We start from the raw sequence: 20,658 nt of genomic DNA, 5'->3' as shown, positions 1-20,658 counted from the left end.
TGATTCTCATGCCTTAGCTTCCTGAGTACCTGGGATTACAGACGTGCATCATCATGTCCGGCTAATTTTTGTGTTTTTAGTAGAGATGGGGTTTCGCCATGTTGGCCAAGCTGATTTCGAACTCCTGGCTTTGTGATCTGCCCAGCTCAGCCTCCCAAAGTGCTGGGATTTCAAGCATGAGCCCCCATGCTCAGACTAATTTTTTTGAAGATGGAGCCTCACTATGTTGCCCAGGCTGGCCTCCCAAAGTGCTGGGATTACAGACATAAGCCTCATTGTTCTTAATATAACATATGATTGTATTATATTATTAAGTATTTCATCTATTTCTTTTTACTTATTTAATGTGGCTACTAGAAAACAAAGATATACATGTGGCCCACATCATATTTCTGTTGGACGACATTGGGTCTGTACACTAGTTCTAAATTTAATTTTTTTTTTTTTTTTTGAGACAGAGTCTCACTCTAGGCTGGAGTGCAGTGGCATGATCTTGGCTCACTGCAACCTCCACCTCCCGGGTTCAAGCAATTCTCCTGCCTCAGCCTCCTAAGTAGCTTAGATTACAGGTGTGCACCAACACACCAGCTAATTTTGGTATTTTTAGTAGAGACGGGGTTTCACCATGTTGGCCAGGCTGGTCTCAAACTCCTGACCTCAGGTGATCTGCCTGCCTCAGCCTCCCAAAGTGCTGGGATTACAGGCATGAGCCACCACAGCTGGCTGGTCTGCACGCTATTTCTAGATAATCCATGCACATGCACACTACACAATCAAAGCAGAAATATTGTGATATGGTTTGGCTGTCTCCCCACCCAAATCTCAATTTGAATTGTATCTCTCAGAATTCCCATGTGTTGTGGGAGGGACCCAGGGGGAGATAATTGAATCATGGGGTCCGGTCTTTCCCTTGCTATTCTTGTGATAGTTAATAAGTCTCACAAGATCTGATGGGTTTCACAGTAGTTTCCACTTTTGCTTCTTCCTCATTTTCTCTTGCCACTACCATGTAAGTAGTGCCTTTGCCTCCTGCCATGACTGTGAGACCTCCCCAGCAATGTGGAACTGTAAGTCCAATTAAATCTCTTTTTTCTTCCCAGTCTTGGGTATGTCTTTATCAGCAGTGTGAAAATCGACTAATACCTACTGCAAAGTCAATTATTCACTAGAAATAACACAACATTTCAATATTCATTTTTATTTTCCTCATTAAAGTCATGTATACTTTTTTTTTAAGCTCAAAACAGGTTACATACTATATGATTCCATTGAATAACATTCTTGAAATGACAACATTATAGAAATGGAGAGTGGATTCCTGGTTGCCAGGGGTTAGGGACACGGCTGGGGTGTGGGGGTGGAGGGAAGTGGGCATCCTGGGGATCCCTGTGGTGATGAGAATGTCCTGTATCTTCACTGTATCAATGTCAATATCCTGGTTATGAGACTACATTGTAGTTTTGCAAGATGTTGCCATTGGGGGAGGCTGGGTGAAGGGTACACAAGATCCCTCTGTATCATTACTTACAATTGTGTTGAGTTTGCAATGATCTCAAAATAGAAAGCATAATTTAAAAACAAAGTACAAACAAAACTGCAGGTTTTTTAGGTGTTTTTGTTTTTGTTTTTGCTTTGCTTTTGAGACAGAGCCTCCCTCGGTCACCCAGGCTAGAGTGCAGTGGTGCGATCATGGCTCACCACAACCTCCACCTCCAAGTTCGAGCAATTCTCCCACCTCAGCCTCCCAAGTAGCTGGGATTACAGGCACCCACTACCATGCCCAGTTAATTTTTTGTATTTTTAGTACAGACGGGGTTTCACCATGCTGGCCAGCCTGGTCTGGAACTCTTGACCTCAGGTGATCCACCCACCTTAGCCTCCCAAAGTTCTGGGATTACAGGCGTGAGCCACTGCTCTCAGCCTAATTTTCTTTTTTAAATTAACTCACTTACAAGAGCTTAGATAACTCCATGGACTTCTGTTTTGTCCCAAAGAACTTTTGAGATTCCAGTTACATATTTTCCAACTTGCCATAAAATAAATACATTTTTTTTAAGCGAGAATCTTTCTACTTGTCTGTATTCTGAGTTCCCTGTTCACACCTATTGCCATATGGAAATATCCCAGATACACGGGTTTCTGTTTGTTTTTCAAAAGCCTGGGATGGAAAGATGGTGTGTGTGGGGGGGGTGGGGGGTGGGAGGGTGCTCCCTAGAAGGAAGTGTTCACCTTGCAAATGAGGAAGGATGAGAAGAGTCCCGCTGGAAAAGGAGGGACAAGTCTGGGAAAGACAGGCAACATGGAGGAGAGTTAGTTAGCTAAGGTAACACCATCCCACGAAAAGTGAAGTGAAAACAAGAGGGAGAATGGCCGGGAAGGAAGGGGACATCGGGCCACAGTGGCCCATGAGGCTGTCGCCTACACTGCCTGGGTCTTCTGGGCCATAGTGTCCACTGTGGAGCGCGTGAATGACTTGCTCTCCCTAACCACGGACTCTTCAGTCAACACGTTCCGGAGGAGGCTGGGGAGGGATTTCCGCAGTCGGCCCTGGAAGCCCTGGCCGGCCACCACGTAGATGATGGGGTTGATGCAGCAGTTGATGTAGGCAAAGGAGACACACAGGGAGTCCAGCTTCTTCAGCAGCAGGAAGGTGGGTGACGATGGCTCCAGGAAGGACATCATTATCCCCGTCACCTGGTAGGGCAACCAGAAGATAAAGAAACTGGCCACCACTGCCACCACCACCTTGAGTGTCTTGGTGGACCGCGTGGCCCTGCGGCTCCACGTCCGGAGCAGGATGAAAGTGTAACAAATCGTGAGCGTGAGTAGAGGCCACAGGAAGCCCAGGACCAGCCGGACGATGGCCACGGCTCGCTCCCGCCGTTTGTCGTGGCTGTAGTCCACGCCACACAACACCTTTGGTGGAAAGTACTCCTCCCGGACCACCCGGTACAGGAAGGAGGGTATGGTCAGCAGCAGGGCTAAACCCCAAGCCACGGCACAGGCGATCCAGGCCAAGCCAGCCCCTCGGAAGTTCTGGCACCAGATGGGTTTAAACACCAGCAGAAAGCGGTCGGCGCTGATGGTGGCCAGGAGCAGGATGCTGGCGTACATGTTGAGCAGGATGAGGGAGGGCAGGATGCTGCAGGCGGCCCCGCCAAAGGGCCAGTGGTGATGCTGTACAATGGACGTGAACAAGATGGGCAGCGCCAGGCAGGAGAGGAAGTCGGCTACCGCCAAGTTGAGGAACCAGATGGCATTGATGGTCCGCTTGGCCTCGAATGCCGTCACCCAGACCACCAGGGCATTGCCCAGCACTCCCACCAGGAAGACGACTGCAAAGATGACCAAGGCCAGGATGTCTGGAACACGCAGCGTGTTAGAAGTTTTATCCACAGGGGTGTTGAGGTCCAGGGTATCCTTGTCATCATAGTGCCCATAATCAGGGGTGGTATAATTGAAGGAGTCCTAAGGGGAATCGGAGAGAGCAGAGAGGATGAGTCTGCAGACATGTGCCCGGGTAGGGGGCATCCTGGCTCAGGCATGTGGCTTTTCCCCTGTGTGGCTTTTTCTCACTAGGAAATGGGGATGCTGAGGGCTGAGAGTCAACTAGGGTGTCACACCACTTATTAAAATATTGAGGCAGATGCCGTAGCTCACGCCTGTCATCCCAGCACTTTGGGAGGCCGAGGCGGGCGGACTGCTTGAGCCCAGGAGTTTGAGAATAGCCTGGGCAACATGGCAAAACCCCGTCTCTACTGAAAATACAAAAATTAGCCAGGCGTGGTTGCACTTGCCTGTAGTCCCAGCTACTCCGGAGGCTGAGGTAGGAGGATCACCTGACCCCAGGAGGCAGAGGTTAGAGTGAGCCGAGATCATACCATTGCACTCCAGCTTAGGTGACAGAGTGAGACCCTGTCTCAAAAAAAAAAAAAAAAAAAAAATGAAATGATTCCATGCTAGTTGGACCCCTTGCCAGTCTGCCACCTCTCCCCTCAGTCCCATCCTGCGAAGCCCCTGGGCTTCCCCACGATCCAGCAGCCTAACGTCAAAGTCTAGCCCTACTGGCCGGGCACGGTGGCTCACACCTGTAATCCAGCACTTTGGGAGGCCGAGGTGGGTGGATCACGAGGTCAGGAGTTGAAGATCAGCCTGACCAATGTAGTGAAACCCCGCCTCTACTAAAAATACAAAAATTAGCCAGGCGTGGTAGTGGGCGCCTGTAATCCCAGCTACTTGGGAGGCTGAGGCAGAAGACTTGCTTGAACCCAGGAGGCAGAGGTTGCAGTGAGCCGAAACAGCCCCATTGCACTCCAGCCTGGGTAACAGAGTGAGACTCCATCTAAAAAAAAAAAAAAAAAAAAAAATAGAACAAAAAGGTCCTGATCACTTCTTCCCAGACAGAGCTGAAGGAAGCTGTCATGCACCCAAGAAAGAAAGGCTGCAGTCCATGGCAGCTGGACTGGAGAAAGCCTTGTAGGTGAAATCTGTGTCCAGAGGCACCAGACACTGCAGTAAAGCACCCATCAGGGCACTGAGTGATCACCCGAAAGCAGCCAGTACTTACTGAGCACCTACTATGCATGCGGCATGGAATTTGCTCTTTCCATCCTGACCACAACCTACAAGGAGGTTCTGTTAATATGCCCATTTCAGGCCAGGTGTGGTGGTGCACACCTATAACCCAAGCACTTTGGGAAGCCAAGGTGGGCAGATCACCTGAGGTCAGGGGTTCGAGACCAGCCTGGCCAACATGGTGAAACCCCGTCTCTACTAAAAATACAAAAATTAGCCAGGCGTGGTGGCGGGCACCTGTAATCCCAGCTACTCGGGAGGCTGAGGCAGGAGAATCACTTGAACCTGGGAGGTGGAAGTTGCAATGAGCTGAGATAGCGACACTGCACTCCAGCCTGGGCGACAGAGTGAGACTCCACCTCAAAAAAAAAAAAGAAAGAAAAAAAAATGCCCATTTCGCTGATGAAGAAGCACGAGGCACCAGAAGGTGAAGTAGGCTGTTCCAGGTCACTCAGAGAGGATGTGAACCCATACGGGCTGGAATGCAAACCAGACAGGCTGCCCCTGACCATTTCCAAGAGGTGAGTTTTGTGACCTATGGAGCTAGCCCAGTCCTGAAGGCCACTTTGACACCAACCCAGAGAAAAGGGGACAGCAAGAAATAGAAATCATTCTGGAAATACTGAGAGCTGTATTTGCAGCTCTAAATATTTGAATTTGCAGATGGAGTTTTGTACATTTTTTTTTTTTTTTTGAGATGGAGTCTCACTCTGTCGCCACGCTGGACTGCAGTGGCACGATCTCGGGTCACTGCAACCTCTGCCTCCCAGGTTCAAGCGATTCTCCTGCCTCAGCCTCCTGAGTAGCTGGGACTAAAGGCACCTGCCACCACACCCTGCTAATTTTTGTATTTTTAGTAGAGACAGGGTTCCACCATGTTGGTCAGGCTGGTCTCGAACTCCTGACCTCGTGATCTGCCTGCCTTGGCCTCCCAAAATGCTGGGATTACAGGCATGAGCCACCACACCCGGCCTGGTTTTTCTACCTTTAAAACACTCACCTCAAAGATTAAATAAGATGAAAAATGCCTAAGCACCTAGCACAGCGCCTGACACAGAGAAGAGGACAAGAAGTGGCAGCCATTGGTATTATTATTTGTCAGTTATTGAAGAGCTCAGATCCACATCCCTGAACCACTATATATATATATATATTTTTTTTTTTTTGAGACTGAGTCTCACTCTGTCACCCAGGCTGTAGCTCAGGGGTGTGATCTTGGCTCACTGCAGCCTTGACTTCTCAGGCTCAAGTGATCCTCTTGCCTCAGCCTCCCAAGCAGCTGGGACTACAGGTGCATACTACTGTGCCCAGCTAATTTTTAATGTTTTTTTAAAGAGGAGGGTCTCACTGTATTGCCCAGGCTGGTCTCGAACTCCTGGGTTCAAGCAATCCTCCGGCCTTGGTCTCCCAAAGTGCTGGGATTACAGGCATGAACCACCACGCCCAGCCCCGTTTTATATTTTTTTTTTTTTTTTTTTTTTGAGACGGGGTCTTGATCTGTCACCCAGGCTTATGTGCAGTGGTGCAATCATGGATCACTGTCACCCCAGCCCCTCTGGCTCAAGCAATCCTCCTGCCTCAGCCTCTTGAGTAGCTAGGACTACAATTGTGCACCACCACACCCAGCTAATTTTTGTATTTTTTTTCTTTTTTTTTTTTGGTAGAGATGGGTCTCGCTTTGTTGCACAGGCTGGTCTCAAACTCCTAACTTCAAGCAACCCTCCTGCCTTGAACTCCCAAAGTGCTGAGATTACAGATGTAAGCCACCATGCCTGGATAGTTTTGTTTTTTTTTTTCTAGTTCCCTTACATTGCACCTGCCCAAGGTTAGCCAGGCTATGGGCAGTGGGCATTTACTGGTGGAATCATATCCATGAGTAAATTATTGAAAGATAAGATGTCAGTATCTGCTAATGAGTGAATGAAAAAGGTGGGGTTTAGCCACGTGGTGGAATATTACTCAGCTATGAAAAGGAAGTGCTGACACATGCTGCAATGTGGATGAATCTTGAAAACATGATGCTAAGTGAAAGAAGCCAGTCACAAAAGGCCATTAAAAATACAAAAATTAGCCAGAGTGTTGGCGCGCACCTGTAATCCCAGCTACTCCAGAGACTGAGGCAGGAGAATCACTTGAACCTGGGAGGCGGAGGTTGCAGTAAGCTGAGATCATGCCAATGCACTCCAGCCTTGACTGAGCAAGACTCTGTCTCAAAAAAAAAAAAAGGTGATAGAAAGATGGATGGATATAAATAAACGGATGGATAGATAACGAATGGGTGAATGAGTGGATGCATGGATGATGGACAGATAGATGACTGATGGACAGACAATGGATACATGGAGATATGATTGAGAGATAGATGATAGATAGATAGATGATAGATACATAGATAATGGGCTGGGCATGGTGGCTCATGCCTGTAATCACTTGAGGCCAGAAGATCAAGACCAGCCTGGCCAACATAGTGAAACCCCATCTCCACTAAAAGTACAAAAAAATTAGCTGGGCCCAGTGGTGTGTGCCTGTAGTCCCAGCTACTTGGGAGGCTGAGGCAGGAGAATCGCTTGAACCTGGGAGGTGGAGGTTGCAGTGAGTCAAGATTGCGCCACTGCCCTCCAGCCTGGGCAACAGAACAAGACTCTGTCTAAAAAAAAAAAATAGCTAGATAACGGATGGATGGATGGATGGATGGATGGATGAATCGATGGACAGATGGATGGATGGATGGATGGATAATGGAGAGACAGATACAGTAAATTTGGAGAGTCTAGGTAAAATGTATATGTATATGAGCCTGTTCCATTCTTGTCATTTTTCCGTAAGTTTGAAAATATTTCCAAATAGAAGGTTAACATTTTTAAAAATATTTTCACTGGTAAACAGCCCCTGCCCTCAGCCACCCACTTCTTCTATTGCCCGCTCCCAGCACCCTAAGTTCCTGTTTCCTACTCTGGGACACCCCCACTCCAGGTCGCCATGTTCATGTCACTAAAGAGTTAATGCTAGGTGCAGCAGGAGGCCCTAGACCCTGCCCAGGGGACCTCTGCACTTTAGCACATTGTTAAATATTTTGAATGTTCCCTTTGGCTGTGACGCATGAAGGTAAATTTTGCCTCTGCTGGTTTCGCAAGCTCCCAGCAATCCTTGACTGCAGAATGACTCAGACCCTCGTAAGGGGAGCCTCCCCACCCTCTGCTCTGACATCGCCTTGTCACTCCCTCATCAGCTGACAAAGCTCCGTTCCTGCCATGAGCTCACTCAGTCCTTTCCTCTGGTTGACTTCAGAAAGGCAGAAAAAATACGCTGATTCCAACGTCCTGTGGTTTCCGGGATCTTCAGACGCAAACGGCTTGCAAAGTTTGCCACTGCAGCACCTCTCCAAAGACTGGAAATAACTGACATGTCCAGCAAGAGGGGACTGGCTAAATTAATGATGGTACATCCAGGCAACAGAATACTACACAGCTATCAAAAAGAATGGAAAAGTTGGCCAGGTGCAGTGGCTCATGCCTGTAATCCTAGCACTTTGGGAGGCTGAAGCAGGGGGATTGCTTGAGCCCAGGAGTTCAAGATCAGCCTGGGTAACCTAGCAAGACCCTATCCCTACAAAAAGGAAAAAAACAGACAAAAAGAATGTTTATATAATGATGTGGAAAGACCTCCAAGATCTAGGGTGAGGCCAGGCGTGGTGGCTCACGCCTGTAATCCCAGCACTTTGGGAGGCCAAGGAAGGTGGATCACTTGAAGTCAGGAGTTCAAGCCCAGACTGGCCAACATAGTGAAACCCCGTCTCTACTAAAAATACAAAAATTAGCTGGGTGTGATGGCAGGCACCTGTAATTCCAGCTACTCAGTAGACTGAGGCAGGAAAAACACTTGAACCCAGGAGGTGGAGGTTGTAGTGAGCCGAGATCGTGCCACTGCACTCCAGCCTGGGCAACATAGCGAGACTCCATCTCTAAAAAATAAAATAGGCTGGACACGGTGGTTCACGCCTGTAATTCCAGCAATTTGGGAGGCCCAGGCGGGTGGATCACCTGAGGTCAGCAGTTCAAGACCAGCCTGACCAACATGGTGAAACCCTGTCTCTACTAAAAATACAAAAATTAGCCAGGAGTGGTGGCGTGCGCCTGTAATCCCAGCTATCTGGGAGGCTGAGGCAGAAGAATCACTGGAACCCGGGAGGTGGAGGCTACAGTGAGCCGAGATCGCTTCACTATACTCCAGCCTGGGCAACAAGAGCAAAACTCCATCTCAAAAATAAAATAAATAAAGTAAAATAAAATAAAATAGTGAAAAATAAACGTAGGTAGCTGCATTGTGGCACGTGGCCCACATATTGGGCAGTGCAGGTCCAGGGCCACTCTGGGGGTTCTAATTGCCCGGCACTATTCCATGTGCTTCCCAGGTGTTGGCTTAGTAATTTCCTAATCACAGTGCATATCTATGTGACAATAGCACAAAGGGCAGGGTACTATTATTCTTCCTAAATTCACATGCTCATTAGAGGAACAACCCTTGTCTGTTGCATGGAGAAAGGGGCAGAGAGCAGAAGCTGGGAGGAAACGGAGATTGGAACTGTCCAGGTGACGTGAGGCATGACGGTGGCTTAGACAAGGGTGCTGGCCGCAAGATGTGAACGATCGGATGAGAACAGGGTGAAGGAGAAGGCGCAGTACCTACAAGAACAGCCATAATCATTGCCAGGCTGTCCTGAGCCTTTCTCGTGTATTATCTCATTGAACCCACAAAGCAACCCTAGGAGACTTACTTGTTGCAACAGCAACACTCATTTTCCAGAAGAGAAAAATGAGGCTACAGAGAAATGAACAGACCTCTCCAAGTCTTCTCGGTTAGCAAGAACAGAGACAGGAGAGAAACTCCTGAGAGCTGAGCCCCAGAGCCCTCTCTCTCTTTTTTTTTTTTATGAGACGGAATCTCGCTCTGTCCCCAGGCTGGAGTGCAGTGGCGCGATCTCAGCTCACTGCAAGCTCCGCCTCCTGGATTCACACCATTTGCTAGCCTCAGCCTCCCGAGTAGCTGGGACTACAGGTGCCCGCCACCATGCCTGGCTAATTTTATTTTTAGTAGAGACAGGGTTTCACCGTGTTAGCCAGGATAGTCTTGATCTCCTGACCTCGTGATCCACCCACCTCAGCCTCCCAAAGTGCTGGGATTACAGGCATGAGCCACCGCGCCCAGCCCAGAGCCCTCTGTTTGAGTGGCTACCAGGCAGGCCTAAAGTGCATTGGGAGTGGGGGGGCATGCATTCTAGGCAGAAAGGAGAGAGGAAGGGCAGGTGGTGCACAGCAGAAACGAAAGGTCAGCATGGCTGGCAGGCGGCCAAGATAGGACTGGAAGGTCTGCAGATGCTGAGTTAAAGAATGTGGCTGGACGCCAGGCGCGGTGGCTCACGCCTATAATCCCAGCACTTTGGGAGGCTGAGGCGGGTGGATCACGAGGTCAGGAGTTCGAGACCAGCCTGGCCAACATGGTGAAATCCCGTCTCTACTAAAATAAAATACAAAAATTAGCCGTGTGTGGTGGCACGCACCTGTGATACCAGCTACTTGGGAGGCCGAGGCAGGAGAATCACCAGAATCCAGGAGGCAGAGGTGCAGTGAGCCAAGACTGCACCACTGCCCTCCAGGCTGGGTGACAGAGCGAGACTCTGTCTCAAAACAAAACAAAACAGACCAAATATTAGAAGCAAACTAAATTTCCATTGAAGGGGATGAAACCTCCTACTAGCATATTACTCAGCTGATAAAAGAAAGAAAGAAGCACCAGGCTGGGCAACATAGCAAGACCCCACCTCTACAAAAAATTTTAAATCTAGCTGGGTGTGGTGGCATGCACCTGTAGTCCCACCTACTCAGGAGGCTGAGGTGGAAGACCTCAGTAGACCCTGTCTAGAAAAAAGAAAAAAAGGAGGAGGAGGAGGAGGCAACTCCCTTGAACTACACGGGAATGAAGTACCTTCCTCAAGGTTAAGGGGAAATTAATGAATGCCTAATACAACGCCTGGTATGCAGTAAGCACTCAATAAATGCTAGTTAATAATACTATATGTTATTCATTTAAAAAAGCCAGATGTAGAGTACTGTACAAAACATACTGCCATTTATAAGGCTGGGAAAGGATAGAAATGTCACCCACATTGAGCGCCAACTGTATACCAGGCACTGCTACAAGAACTTTTCATGCATTCACTCAGTCAATTCTCTCAACTAGCCTATGATGTAGATTCTAGTATTATCTTCACCTTAAAGATAAGGAGAAGGAGGCTGGGTGCGATGGCTCACGCCTGTAATCCCAGCACTTTGGGAGGCCAAGGCGGGAAGATTGCTTGGGGCCAGGAGTTCAAGACCAGCCTGGCCAACACGGTGAAACCCCGTCTCTACTAAAAATACAAAAATTAGCCAGGCATGGTGGCAGGCACCTGTAGTCCCAGCTACCTGGGAGGCTGAGGCAGGAGAATCACTTGAACCCAGGAGGTGGAGGTTACAGTGAGCTGAGATCACACCACTGCACTCTAGCCTGGGCAACAGAGCAAGACACTGTCTCAAAAAACAAAAAGATAAGGAGACAGAAGCACGGAGAGGACAGATCTCCGCAACTATTTCATAGTAGAGACAGAAGCTGAGCTCGGTTTTGGGGTTCCCCGCATCACACTAGTCCTTACTTTGTTCCCTAAGCATCTGTGCTCTCAGGCATCTGTAAACTGTTTCTGGAAGGATCCACCACAAACTGGCATCCCATGGTTGCCCCAGGTAGGGTAGGAGGCAATGAAAAGGAGTCAGAGGGCCAGGTAGGGTGGCTCATACCTGTAATCCCAGCACTTTGGGAGACCAATGTGGGTGGATCACGTGAGGTCAGGAGTTCAAGACCAGCCTGGCCAACATGGTGAAACTCCGTCTCTACTAAAAAGACAAAAAATTAGCCAGGCGTGGTGGCGCATGCCTGTAATCCCACCTAGTCGGGAGGCTGAGGCAGGAGAATTGCTTGAAGCCGCGAGGCAGAGGTTGTGGTGAGCCAAGATCGTGCCATTGCACTCCAGCCTGGGCGACAAGAGTGAAACTCTGTCTCAAAATAAAAGGAAAGAAAAGGAGTCAGAGGCTCTGGGGTAGGCAGGGAGAATGAGTTTTTTTTTTTCTATGTTTGTTTTTTGAGATGGCCCTGTTGCCAGGCTGGAGTGCAGTAGAGCAATCTCGGCTCACTGCAACCTCTGCCTCATGGGTTCAAGCGATTGTCGTGCCTCAGCCTCTCAAGTGCTGGGACTACAGGCGCCCGCTTATATGCCCAGCTAATTTTTGTAGTTTTGGTAGAGACGGAGTTTCACCATGTTGGCCAGGATGGTCTCAATCTCCTGACCTTGTGATCCGCCCGCCTCAGTCTCCCAAAGTGCTGGGATTACACGCATGAGCCACCGCGCCTGGCCGAGAATGAGTTTTTACCAAGTATCATTTGGTACTTTGGAAAATGTTTTGGAAAGAAAAAAAAAAAGAAGAAGAAGAATCAGAGAGTCCCGTTTGCCCAAGTCGGATCTCAAGGGTGGAATGCAGGAATGAAGCAACATCAGACCCCTCCCTGGTCCATCCAAACCATCTTCCGTTTCCTCTTTGACACAGATGAAGCAAGGCAATGCCTGTGTTACAGCAGGTGCTGAATCGCAGCTCTGCTGGCTCAGTGCCCAGGCCTCCAGACGCAGGGATGACAGGGACCCTCATTTAGCCTGGGGTGCATTCCTTCTGACACTCACAGAATCCATGGCATAACCTGCTTCTGCCACCAACCATGGAGGGTCCCCATCCATCTCTGCTCCTGCCTGGGCCTCAGTTTCCCCATCTCTGTCATGCAGAACATCTCAAACGACCAGGCATAATGGCCTCATGCCAGTAATCCCAGAGCTTTGGGAGACCAAGGTGGGAGGATGGCTTGAGGCCAGGAATTTGAGACCAGCCCTGACAACATAGCAAGAACCCATCTCTACAAGAATAAAAATTTTAAAAATTAGCCGGACATAGTGGTGCATGCCTGTGGTCCCAGATACTCAGGAGGCTAAAGAGGGAGGATCACTTGAGCCCAAGAGTTCAAGACTGCAGTGAGCTATGATGGTGCCACTGCACTCCAGCCTGGGCAACAGTGCAAGACCCCAAGTCGAAAAAGAAAAGAACATCTATCTGCAAGAGCATCTGAGTAACTTGACCATTCCTCCAAACTGGTTCTTTCCAGCCTCCCAACATTTTCTCTGCCATTCCCACTGCCTGGAAGGCCTGTTCTAGATTTCTTCACTTGTGGAATTCTTTAAATAAAAAAAAAAATACAGACAGGGTCTCACTATGTTGGCCAGGCTGGTCTTGAACTCCTGGCCTCAAGCAATCCTCCCGCCTTGGCACAATCCCCAATGTGCTGGGATCACAGGTGTGACCCACTGCGCTCGGCTGCTTGTGGAATTCTTAGTCACCTTACTAGACCCAACTCAAGGGTCCCCTCCCCTGGGGAATCTTCTCGGGCCCCAGCCCCACGAGGTTGCTGTTGCTCCCACAATCTTGACAATCTTATTCCCATGGCCACATCCCAGCCCTGGAGTGTGAGAGCCTGGGATGCAGGAGAGAGGGAAGGTGGGAGGTGGAAGACAGGGAGAGAGAAGGAAAGGGAGAGACAGACAGAGTTGACGGCGAGAGTTGGGGAGAGAGAAGGACCCACTGGAGCAAAGATGGGAGGGACCCAGGACAAAGTTTCCTGCTCCCATTCCCCTTCGAGACTCACCATGTTCTGGTCTCCTGGGCTCCCCGAGGATCGAAGGTCCCTCCTGCCCAAGGGCTGTGGTTTTTAAAGCCCCAAGGGAAGATGCAGGGAGGAAATGACCGTCTTTCTCTCTGGGGCTCTCATTGGTCTGCACACTGGGCACTGAGGCCAGAGCTCCCTCTGCGGGGCACACACCCAGGGGACTCTAACCACCTCCTCCCAGGCAGAGAAGGGGGGCCGGCGCTCGGAAAACCGAGGAAGCTCCTGTGCAGGCTCGGCCCCTCTCCTGGCCTTGGTTTCCCTATTTGGGGCCATCTCTTCTCTCTCATTTTTTTTTTTTTTTTTTTGATAGAGTCTTGCTGTGTCGCCCAGGCTGCAGTGGAGTGGTGCAATCTCGGCTCTCTGTAACCTCTGCCTCCTGGGTTCAAGCACTTCTCCTGCCTCAGCCTCCCGAGTAGCTGGGATTACACGTGTGTGTCACCACCCCCGGCTAATTTTTTGTATTTTTAGTAAAGACGGGGTTTCGCCATGTTGGCCAGGCTGGACTCAAACTCCTGAGCTCAGGCAATCACCCACCTCAACCTCCCAAAGTGCTAGAATTACAAGTGTGAGCCACTGCGCCCGGCCTGGAGCCATCTATCTCTTTCCTCCTAAGACGCCAGCCTTCTGGGCAAAAGCTCAGGAATGCAGTTGGCTTAAACCCCTCCCTTGGGATTCAAGAAAGCAGAGACTGTAACCTCCACTCAGCCTCCCGGCCAGGCTGATTTGAGACCCAAAGAGGCTGAGCTAGTCTGCGGAGGTAGCCCAGCATTTAAGTATATTTTACTGTTAAATCTTCCTTCTAGGGCCAGGTGCAATGGCTCACACCTATAATCCCAGCACTTTGGGAGGCTGAGGCAAATGAATCACTTGAGGTCAGGAGTTCAAGACGAGTCTGGCCAACATGGTGAAACCCTGTCTCTACTAAAAATACAAAAATTACCCAGGTGTGGTGGCAGGTGCCTGTAATCCCAGCTACTTGGGAAGCTGAGGCAGGAGAATTGCTTAAACCTGGGAGGCAGAGGTTGCAGTGAGCCAAGATTGCGCCACTGCACTCCAGCCTGGGCAACAAAGCAAGACTCTGTCTCAAAAAAAAAAAACCATCGTCACCAGCCTGGCCAATATGGTGAAACCCCATCTCTACTAAAAATACAAAAATTAGCCAGGCGTGGTGGTGGGTGCCTGTAATCTCAGCTACTCAGAAGGCTGAGGCAGGAGAATTGCTGGAACCCAGGAGGCGGAGGTTGCAGTGAGCAGAGATTGCACCATTGCACTCCAGCCCAGGCTGACAACACCAAGACTCAATCTCAAAAAAAAAAAAAAGAAAAGAAAAAGAAAAGAAAAGAAAAAAATCATCCTTCTAGGGTTATAAAGTTGGCAATAGAAAATGGAGCTACCCTGTCCCCCAACTACACAAGCCACAACCATCTCCATCTATTATTGTTACATTGTAATATATAATGAAATAATTATACAATTCAACATAATGTAGAATCAGTGGAATCCCTGAGCTTGTTTTCCTGTAACGAGATGGTCCTATCTGGGGGTGATGGGATACAGTGACAGATCATCAGGCATTAGATTCTCATAAGGAGCTTGCAACCCAGATCCCTCACATGCGCTGTTCACAACAGGGTTCATGCTCTTTTTTTTTTTTTTTTTTTTTTTGAGATGGAGTCTCACTCTCTCACCCAGGCTAGAGTGCAGTGGCACGATCTCGGCACACTGCAACCTCCGCCTCCCAGGTTCAAGCGATTCTCCTGCCTCAGCCTCCCGAGTAGCTGGGACTACAGGTGCCTACCACTGCACCCGGCTAATTTTTGTATTTTTAGTAGAGACGTGGTTTCACCATCTTGGCCAGGCTGATCTCGAACTCCTGACCTCGTGATCCACCCGCCTCAGCCTCCCAAAATGCTGGGATTACAGGCTTGAGCCACTGCGCCCGGCCTGGGTTCACGCTCTTATGAGAATGTAATTCCGCCCCTGATCTGACAGATCAGGCGGTAATATGAGCGAAGGGGCGTGGCTATAAATACAGATGAAGCTTCACTTACTCACCTGCCACTCACCTCCTGCGATGCTGCATGGTTCCTAGCAGGCCATGGACTGGTACAGGTCTGCAGCCCAGGGCTGGGGGCTAAGATACTTCCTAGAGCCTGGGGCAAGGAAGGAGCCTAGATTACCTTCCCGAGGCTGCTGTAACCAATTAGCACAAACTGCGGGCTTAACACCAGGACCGGGCGCAGTGGCTCATGCCTGCAATCCCAGCACTTTGGGAGGCTGAGGCGGGCAGATCATTGAGGTCAAGAGTTCAAGACCAGCCTGGCCAACATGGCAAAACCCCATCTCTACTAAAAATACATAAATTACCTGGGTGTGGTGGTGCATGCCTGTAGTCCCAGCTACTCGGGAGGCTGAGGCACAAGAATTACTTGAACCCGGGAGGTGGAGGTTGCAGTGAGCCAAGATGGCACCACTGCACTCCAGCCTGGGCGACAAAGCAAGACTCCACCTCAAGGAAAAAAAAAGAAAAAAAAAGCCAGACAATTATTTTGGCATGGTTCTGCAGGCCAGAAGTCCAAAATCAAGATGTCACCACTCCCTCCAGAGGTTCCAGGGGAGAATCTGTTCCTTGCCTCTCCCACCTTCAGGTGGCTCCTGAAATTCCTTGGCTTGTGGTTGCACCACGCCCGTCCCTGCCTCTGTGGTCTCATCACCTCCTCCTCTACCGTATGTCTCAAATTTCTATCTTCCTCATATAAGGACTCTTGTGATTCCACTGAGCCCACCCAGACCCAATCCAGGATAATCGCTCCCCCATCTAAAGATCTTTAACTTCATCCTATCTGCAAAGTCCCTTTTGCCATGGAAGGTCACCTGTTCACAGGTTCAGGGGATTAAGATGTGGACATCATTGGGGATCATGATTCTATCTGCAACAGGGTCTGAGAAGCTAGAGAGTAAGTGTGTCCAGTGGTGGAGAGAAGCCTTGAATGCCGAGCTAAGGAGCCTGGACATGGCCTTTCCTTCGAAATAGATGCATGACCTGTCAACCTCTCACCACCTCGGCTCTGTTACCCTGATCCAAATCACTATCACCTTCTGCTTGGACCATTACAGCAGCCTCCTCTCTGGGATCTTCACTGCCCCCCCTCCGTAGTCTCATCTCCACCAGCAACCAGAGGGAGCCTATTAAAATCTAAGTCAGATCAAAGCACTCCTCTGCTCAGAATAGGGGGTTGCCTGATTTAGCACACACACCTACACAAACAAAAACACATTACAGACTGCCCAGTTAACTTTAAATTTCAGGGTTGGGCCTGGTGCTTCATACCTGTAATCCCAGGGCATGGGGACACCGAGGAAAGATCGCTTGAGGCCAGGAGTTTGAGAGCAGCCTGGGCAACATAGTGAGATCCCATCTCAACAAAATAAATTAAAAATTAGCTGGGCATGGTGGCACGTGCCTGTGGTCCCAGCTACCTGGGAGGCTGAGGCAGGAGGATCACTTCAGCCCAGGAGATCAAGACTGCAGTGAGTTAAGATCACAAAAATATTTTTTTTTTCACATTTTACCTGAGAATCTTGTATTTTATCTGGTAACCACAGCTCAGAGCCCTCCCTTGGAGCCTACGGCACAATGAGTGTGATTGTTATGATGATTACAGAAACACACTCAATTTTTTTTTCCCATGTCCTTCTGCGACTCTACAAAACACCACCCACAACTTTCTCCCACAGTATTTTTCTACAGCAAACTTCAATTTTTAAAAATCTGGTTTTCGGCCGGGTGCGGTCCTCATGCCTGTAATCCCAGCACTTTGGGAAGCCGAGGCAGGCAGATCACCAGTTCAAGAGATTGAGACTATCCTGGCTAACATGGTGAAACCCCGTCTCTACTAAAAATACAAAAATTAGCTGGGCGTGGTGGCGGGCACTTGTAGTCCCAGCTACTCAGGAGGCTGAGGCAGGAGAATTGCTTGAACACGGGAGGCAGAGGTTGCAGTGAGCCGAGATCGCGCCACTGCACTCCAGCCTGGGGACAGAGCAACATTCTGCCTCAAAAAAAAAAAAAAAAAAATCTGGTTTTCTTTTAATTGCAAAGGAAATGCATGCTCATTGTAAATATTTAAACAATCCAGAAATACACTCCTCCCCACTCTAAAAATAGAAAAAAGAAAAAGACACCAATGAAAAGTCCCATTCCTGTCACGCTTCTGAATTCAGCTGGGAATTCACCTAGACTTTTACAAAGGTGGAGTTTGTGTTTGGCCATGGACACGCGGGTACACGATGTTCAGCAAGTTTTAGTTCCGCTAATTGAAGCCATGTGCGCAGTCTGCGTTACTCACCCAGGATTTCCAAGGTCGATTTGTGGCGATTTGGAGCATTATAGGAATGCCGTGTTGTTCTAGCCCTGACCTCCAGGGGGCGCAGGAGCGGGGAGGTTCAGGAAGCCAGGTCACAGGAACTTGACTTTTAGGATTTTGGATGGAAGTTGCCTCCTCAGCCGTAAATCATGGGTTCTTAACATTTTTAGGCCCGGGACCCTTGATAAAGGTGTCCTTGATAAAACACCCCCTCAGAAGAAAAAGAATTTTTTTAACTTTTTATTTCGATGGAATGTCAAATGAAAAAAGTTGCAAGAATAGTAAAAGCGGCCGGGTGCGTTGGCTCCCGCCTGTAATCCCAGCACTTTGGGAAGCCGAGGAGGGAAGATCACTTGAGGTAAAGAGTTCGAGACCAGGCTGACCAACATTGTGAAACCCCGTCTTTAATAAAAATACAAAAAAGTAGCTGGGAATGGTGGCAGGCACCTGTAGTCCCAGCTACTTGGGAGGCTGAGGCAGGAGAATCACTTGAACTCAGGAGGAAGAGGTTGCAGTGAACCGAGATCATACCACTGCACTCCAGCCTGGGCGACAAAGTGAGACTCTGCCTCAAAAAAAAAAAAAAAGAAAGAAAGAAAAAGAAAGCAATTGGGGCCAGAAGCAATGGCTCATGCCTGTAATCCTAGCATTTTGGGAGGCCATGGTGGGAAGATCACTGGAGTCCAGGAGTTCCAGACCAGCCTAAGTAACATAGTGAAACCCCCATCTCTACAAAACACAAAAAATTATCCAGGTGTGGTGGAGCACACCTATAGTCCTAGCTACTTAGGAGGCAGAGGCAGGAGGATCACCTGAGCCCAGGAGGTCGAGGCTGCAGTGACCTATGATTGTGCCACTGCACTGCAACCTGGACAAAAGAGCAAGACCCTGTCTCGAAAAAAAAAAAAAAAAAAAGACAGAGGCCGGGCACGGTGGCTGACGCCTGTAATCCCAGCACTTTGGGAGGCTAAGGCGGGTGGATCACCTGAAAGTCAGGAGTTCAAGACCAGCCTGGCCAACATGGTGAAACCCCATCTCTACTAAGAATACAAAAAATTAGCCAGGTGTGGTGGTGGGCACCTGTAATCCCAGCTACTTGGGAGGCTGAGGGAGAAGAATCACTTGAACTCGGGAGGTGGAGGTTGCAGTCAGCCGAGATCGTGCCATTGCACTCCAGCCTTGAGTGACAAGGGCGAAACTTTGTCACACACACACAGAAAAAAAGAAATTGGCTCATGCAATTGTGGGGGCTGGTAAACCCTAGAAAAATAATACAGGCGTATATATCTATGTCTACTTATGTTTTTCCTGGAATCATTTGAGAGTACTTTGGAAACATCATGCTCCTTTACCATAAATTTGTTACTGTGTATCTCTTATATTGCGGTTATGACAGGATATTCTCTGACATAACCACAATATATTTATCAAAATAAGGAAATATGCCACTGATACCACACTATACTCAGCCCTCACTGAAATTTCACCAGTTGTTCCAATAACTTTTTTTTTTTTTTCTGAGACAGAGTCTCAATTTGTCGCCCAGGCTGGAGTCCAGTGGCACAATCTCGGCTCACTGCAACCTCCGCCACTCAAGTTCAAGAGATTCTCCTGCCTCAGTCTCCCAAGTAGCTTGGATTATAGGCGCCCAGCCACCACGCCCGGCTAATTTTTTTTTTTTTTTTTTGAGATGGAGTCTCACTCTGTTGCCCAGGCTGGAGTACAGTGGCGTGATCTCGGCTCACTGCAAGCTCCGCCTCCCAGGTTCACGCCATTCTCCTGCCTCAGCCTCCCGAGTAACTGGGACTACAGGCGCCCGCCACCATGCCCAGCTAATATTTTGTATTTTTTTTTTTTTAGTAGAGACAGGGTTTCACCGTGTTAGCCAGGACGGTCTTGATCTCCTGACCTCGTGATCCGCCCGCCTTGGCCTCCCGAAGTGCTGGGATTACAGGCATGAGCCACCAAATTTTTGTATTTTTAGTAGAGATGGGGTTTCGCCATGTCGGCCAGGCTGGTCTCGAACTCCTGACCTCAGGTGATCCTCCCACCTCGACCTCCCAAAGTGCTAGGATTACAGGTGTGAGCCACCATGCTGGGCCCCAGTAATGTACTTTATCACTTTGTTTTTCTGGATAACGTTTTGGTTTTCATTTTGGTTTTATTATTTTTTGTAGAGTCGGGGGTCTCACTATGTTGCCCAGGCTTGTCTCGAACTCCTGGGCTCAAGTAATCCTCTCACCTCAGCCTCCCAAAGTGTTGGGATTGCAGGCAAGAGCCACTGCACCTGGCGTCAGAATGATGTTTTTGTAAATACATTTTAAAACACTTTGTTCTGTTTTAACAGCATAAGAAATCCTTTAGCTGGGTGCAGTGGATCACGCCTGTAATCCCAGCACTTTGAGAGGCCAAGGAGGGAGGATTGCTTGAGGCCAGGAGTTCAAGACCAGCCTGGGCAACATGAAGAAACCCCATGTCTACAAAAAATACAAAAATTAGCCAAGTGTAGTGGTGCACACTTGTGGTCCCGGCTACTCTGGAGACTGAGGTGGGAGGATCACCTGAGCCTGGGAGATTGAGGCTGCAGTGAGCTATGATCGCACCACTGTCTATGATCACCCAGCCTGGGTGACAGAGCGAGACCCTGTCTCAAAAAAGAAAAGAAGAAGAAGAAGGCCGGATGCGGTGGCTCACGCCTGTAATCCCAGCACTTTGGGAGGCCGAGGCAGGTGGATCACGAGGTCAGCAGTTCGAGACCAGCCTGGCCAACATGGTGAAACCCTGTCTCTACTAAAAATACAAAAATTAGCCAGGCGTGGTGGCACACGCCTGTAATCCCAGCTGCTTGGGAGGCTGAGGCAGGAAAATCGTGTGAACCAGGAGGTGGAGGTTGAAGTGAGCCGAGACCGCGCCATTGCAC

General features: G+C 49.1%; 1 protein-coding gene across 2 annotated transcripts, besides 2 other annotated features; it reads right to left on the bottom strand.

Annotated features, from left to right (window-relative positions):
• Window positions 1–1,182: 1,182 nt before the first annotated feature.
• C5AR1 (complement C5a receptor 1) lies at window positions 1,183–15,772 on the bottom strand. Of its 2 annotated transcripts, XM_047439300.1 has the most exons (3): window positions 15,739–15,772; window positions 15,438–15,524; window positions 1,183–3,468 (listed from the first exon to the last, which is right to left on the bottom strand). In XM_047439300.1, exons 1-3 carry the CDS (start codon window positions 15,754–15,756, stop codon window positions 2,419–2,421), a joined length of 1,155 nt encoding a protein of 384 aa, XP_047295256.1. In that variant the 5' UTR covers window positions 15,757–15,772; the 3' UTR covers window positions 1,183–2,418. The 2 variants fall into 2 exon arrangements, with proteins under 2 accessions (XP_047295256.1, NP_001727.2); NM_001736.4 differs by lacking the exons at window positions 15,438–15,524; window positions 15,739–15,772 and adding an exon at window positions 13,351–13,388.
• Window positions 7,583–7,877: an enhancer, noted in NCBI's record as "tiled region #10427; HepG2 Activating DNase matched - State 5:Enh, and K562 Activating DNase unmatched - State 1:Tss". NCBI's record gives its function as "activates a minimal TATA promoter and a strong SV40 promoter by Sharpr-MPRA in HepG2 and K562 cells {active_cell/tissue: HepG2 | K562}" and the evidence as "EXISTENCE:reporter gene assay evidence [ECO:0000049][PMID:27701403]".
• Window positions 7,834–8,029: a silencer, noted in NCBI's record as "fragment chr19:47818477-47818672 (GRCh37/hg19 assembly coordinates)". NCBI's record gives its function as "represses an EF-1alpha promoter that drives an FKBP-Casp9 reporter gene in an ReSE screen in phorbol 12-myristate 13-acetate-treated (for megakaryocytic differentiation) K562 erythroleukemia cells {active_cell/tissue: K562(+PMA)}" and the evidence as "EXISTENCE:reporter gene assay evidence [ECO:0000049][PMID:32094911]".
• Window positions 15,773–20,658: the final 4,886 nt, after the last annotated feature.

Source organism: Homo sapiens, chromosome 19 (genome assembly GCF_000001405.40).
Source record: "Homo sapiens chromosome 19, GRCh38.p14 Primary Assembly".
Classification (NCBI taxonomy): domain Eukaryota; kingdom Metazoa; phylum Chordata; class Mammalia; order Primates; family Hominidae; genus Homo; species Homo sapiens.
The sequence above is the reverse complement of the archived record's forward strand: the minus strand, read 5'-3'. Positions and strand labels throughout refer to the sequence as shown.

Coding starts and splice junctions, on each gene's coding strand:
- C5AR1 (XM_047439300.1), bottom strand. Junction 3,469..15,437: donor ACCATGCAGCATCGCAGGAG/GTGAGTGGCAGG, acceptor GATTCCCCTTAG/GACTCCTTCAATTATACCAC.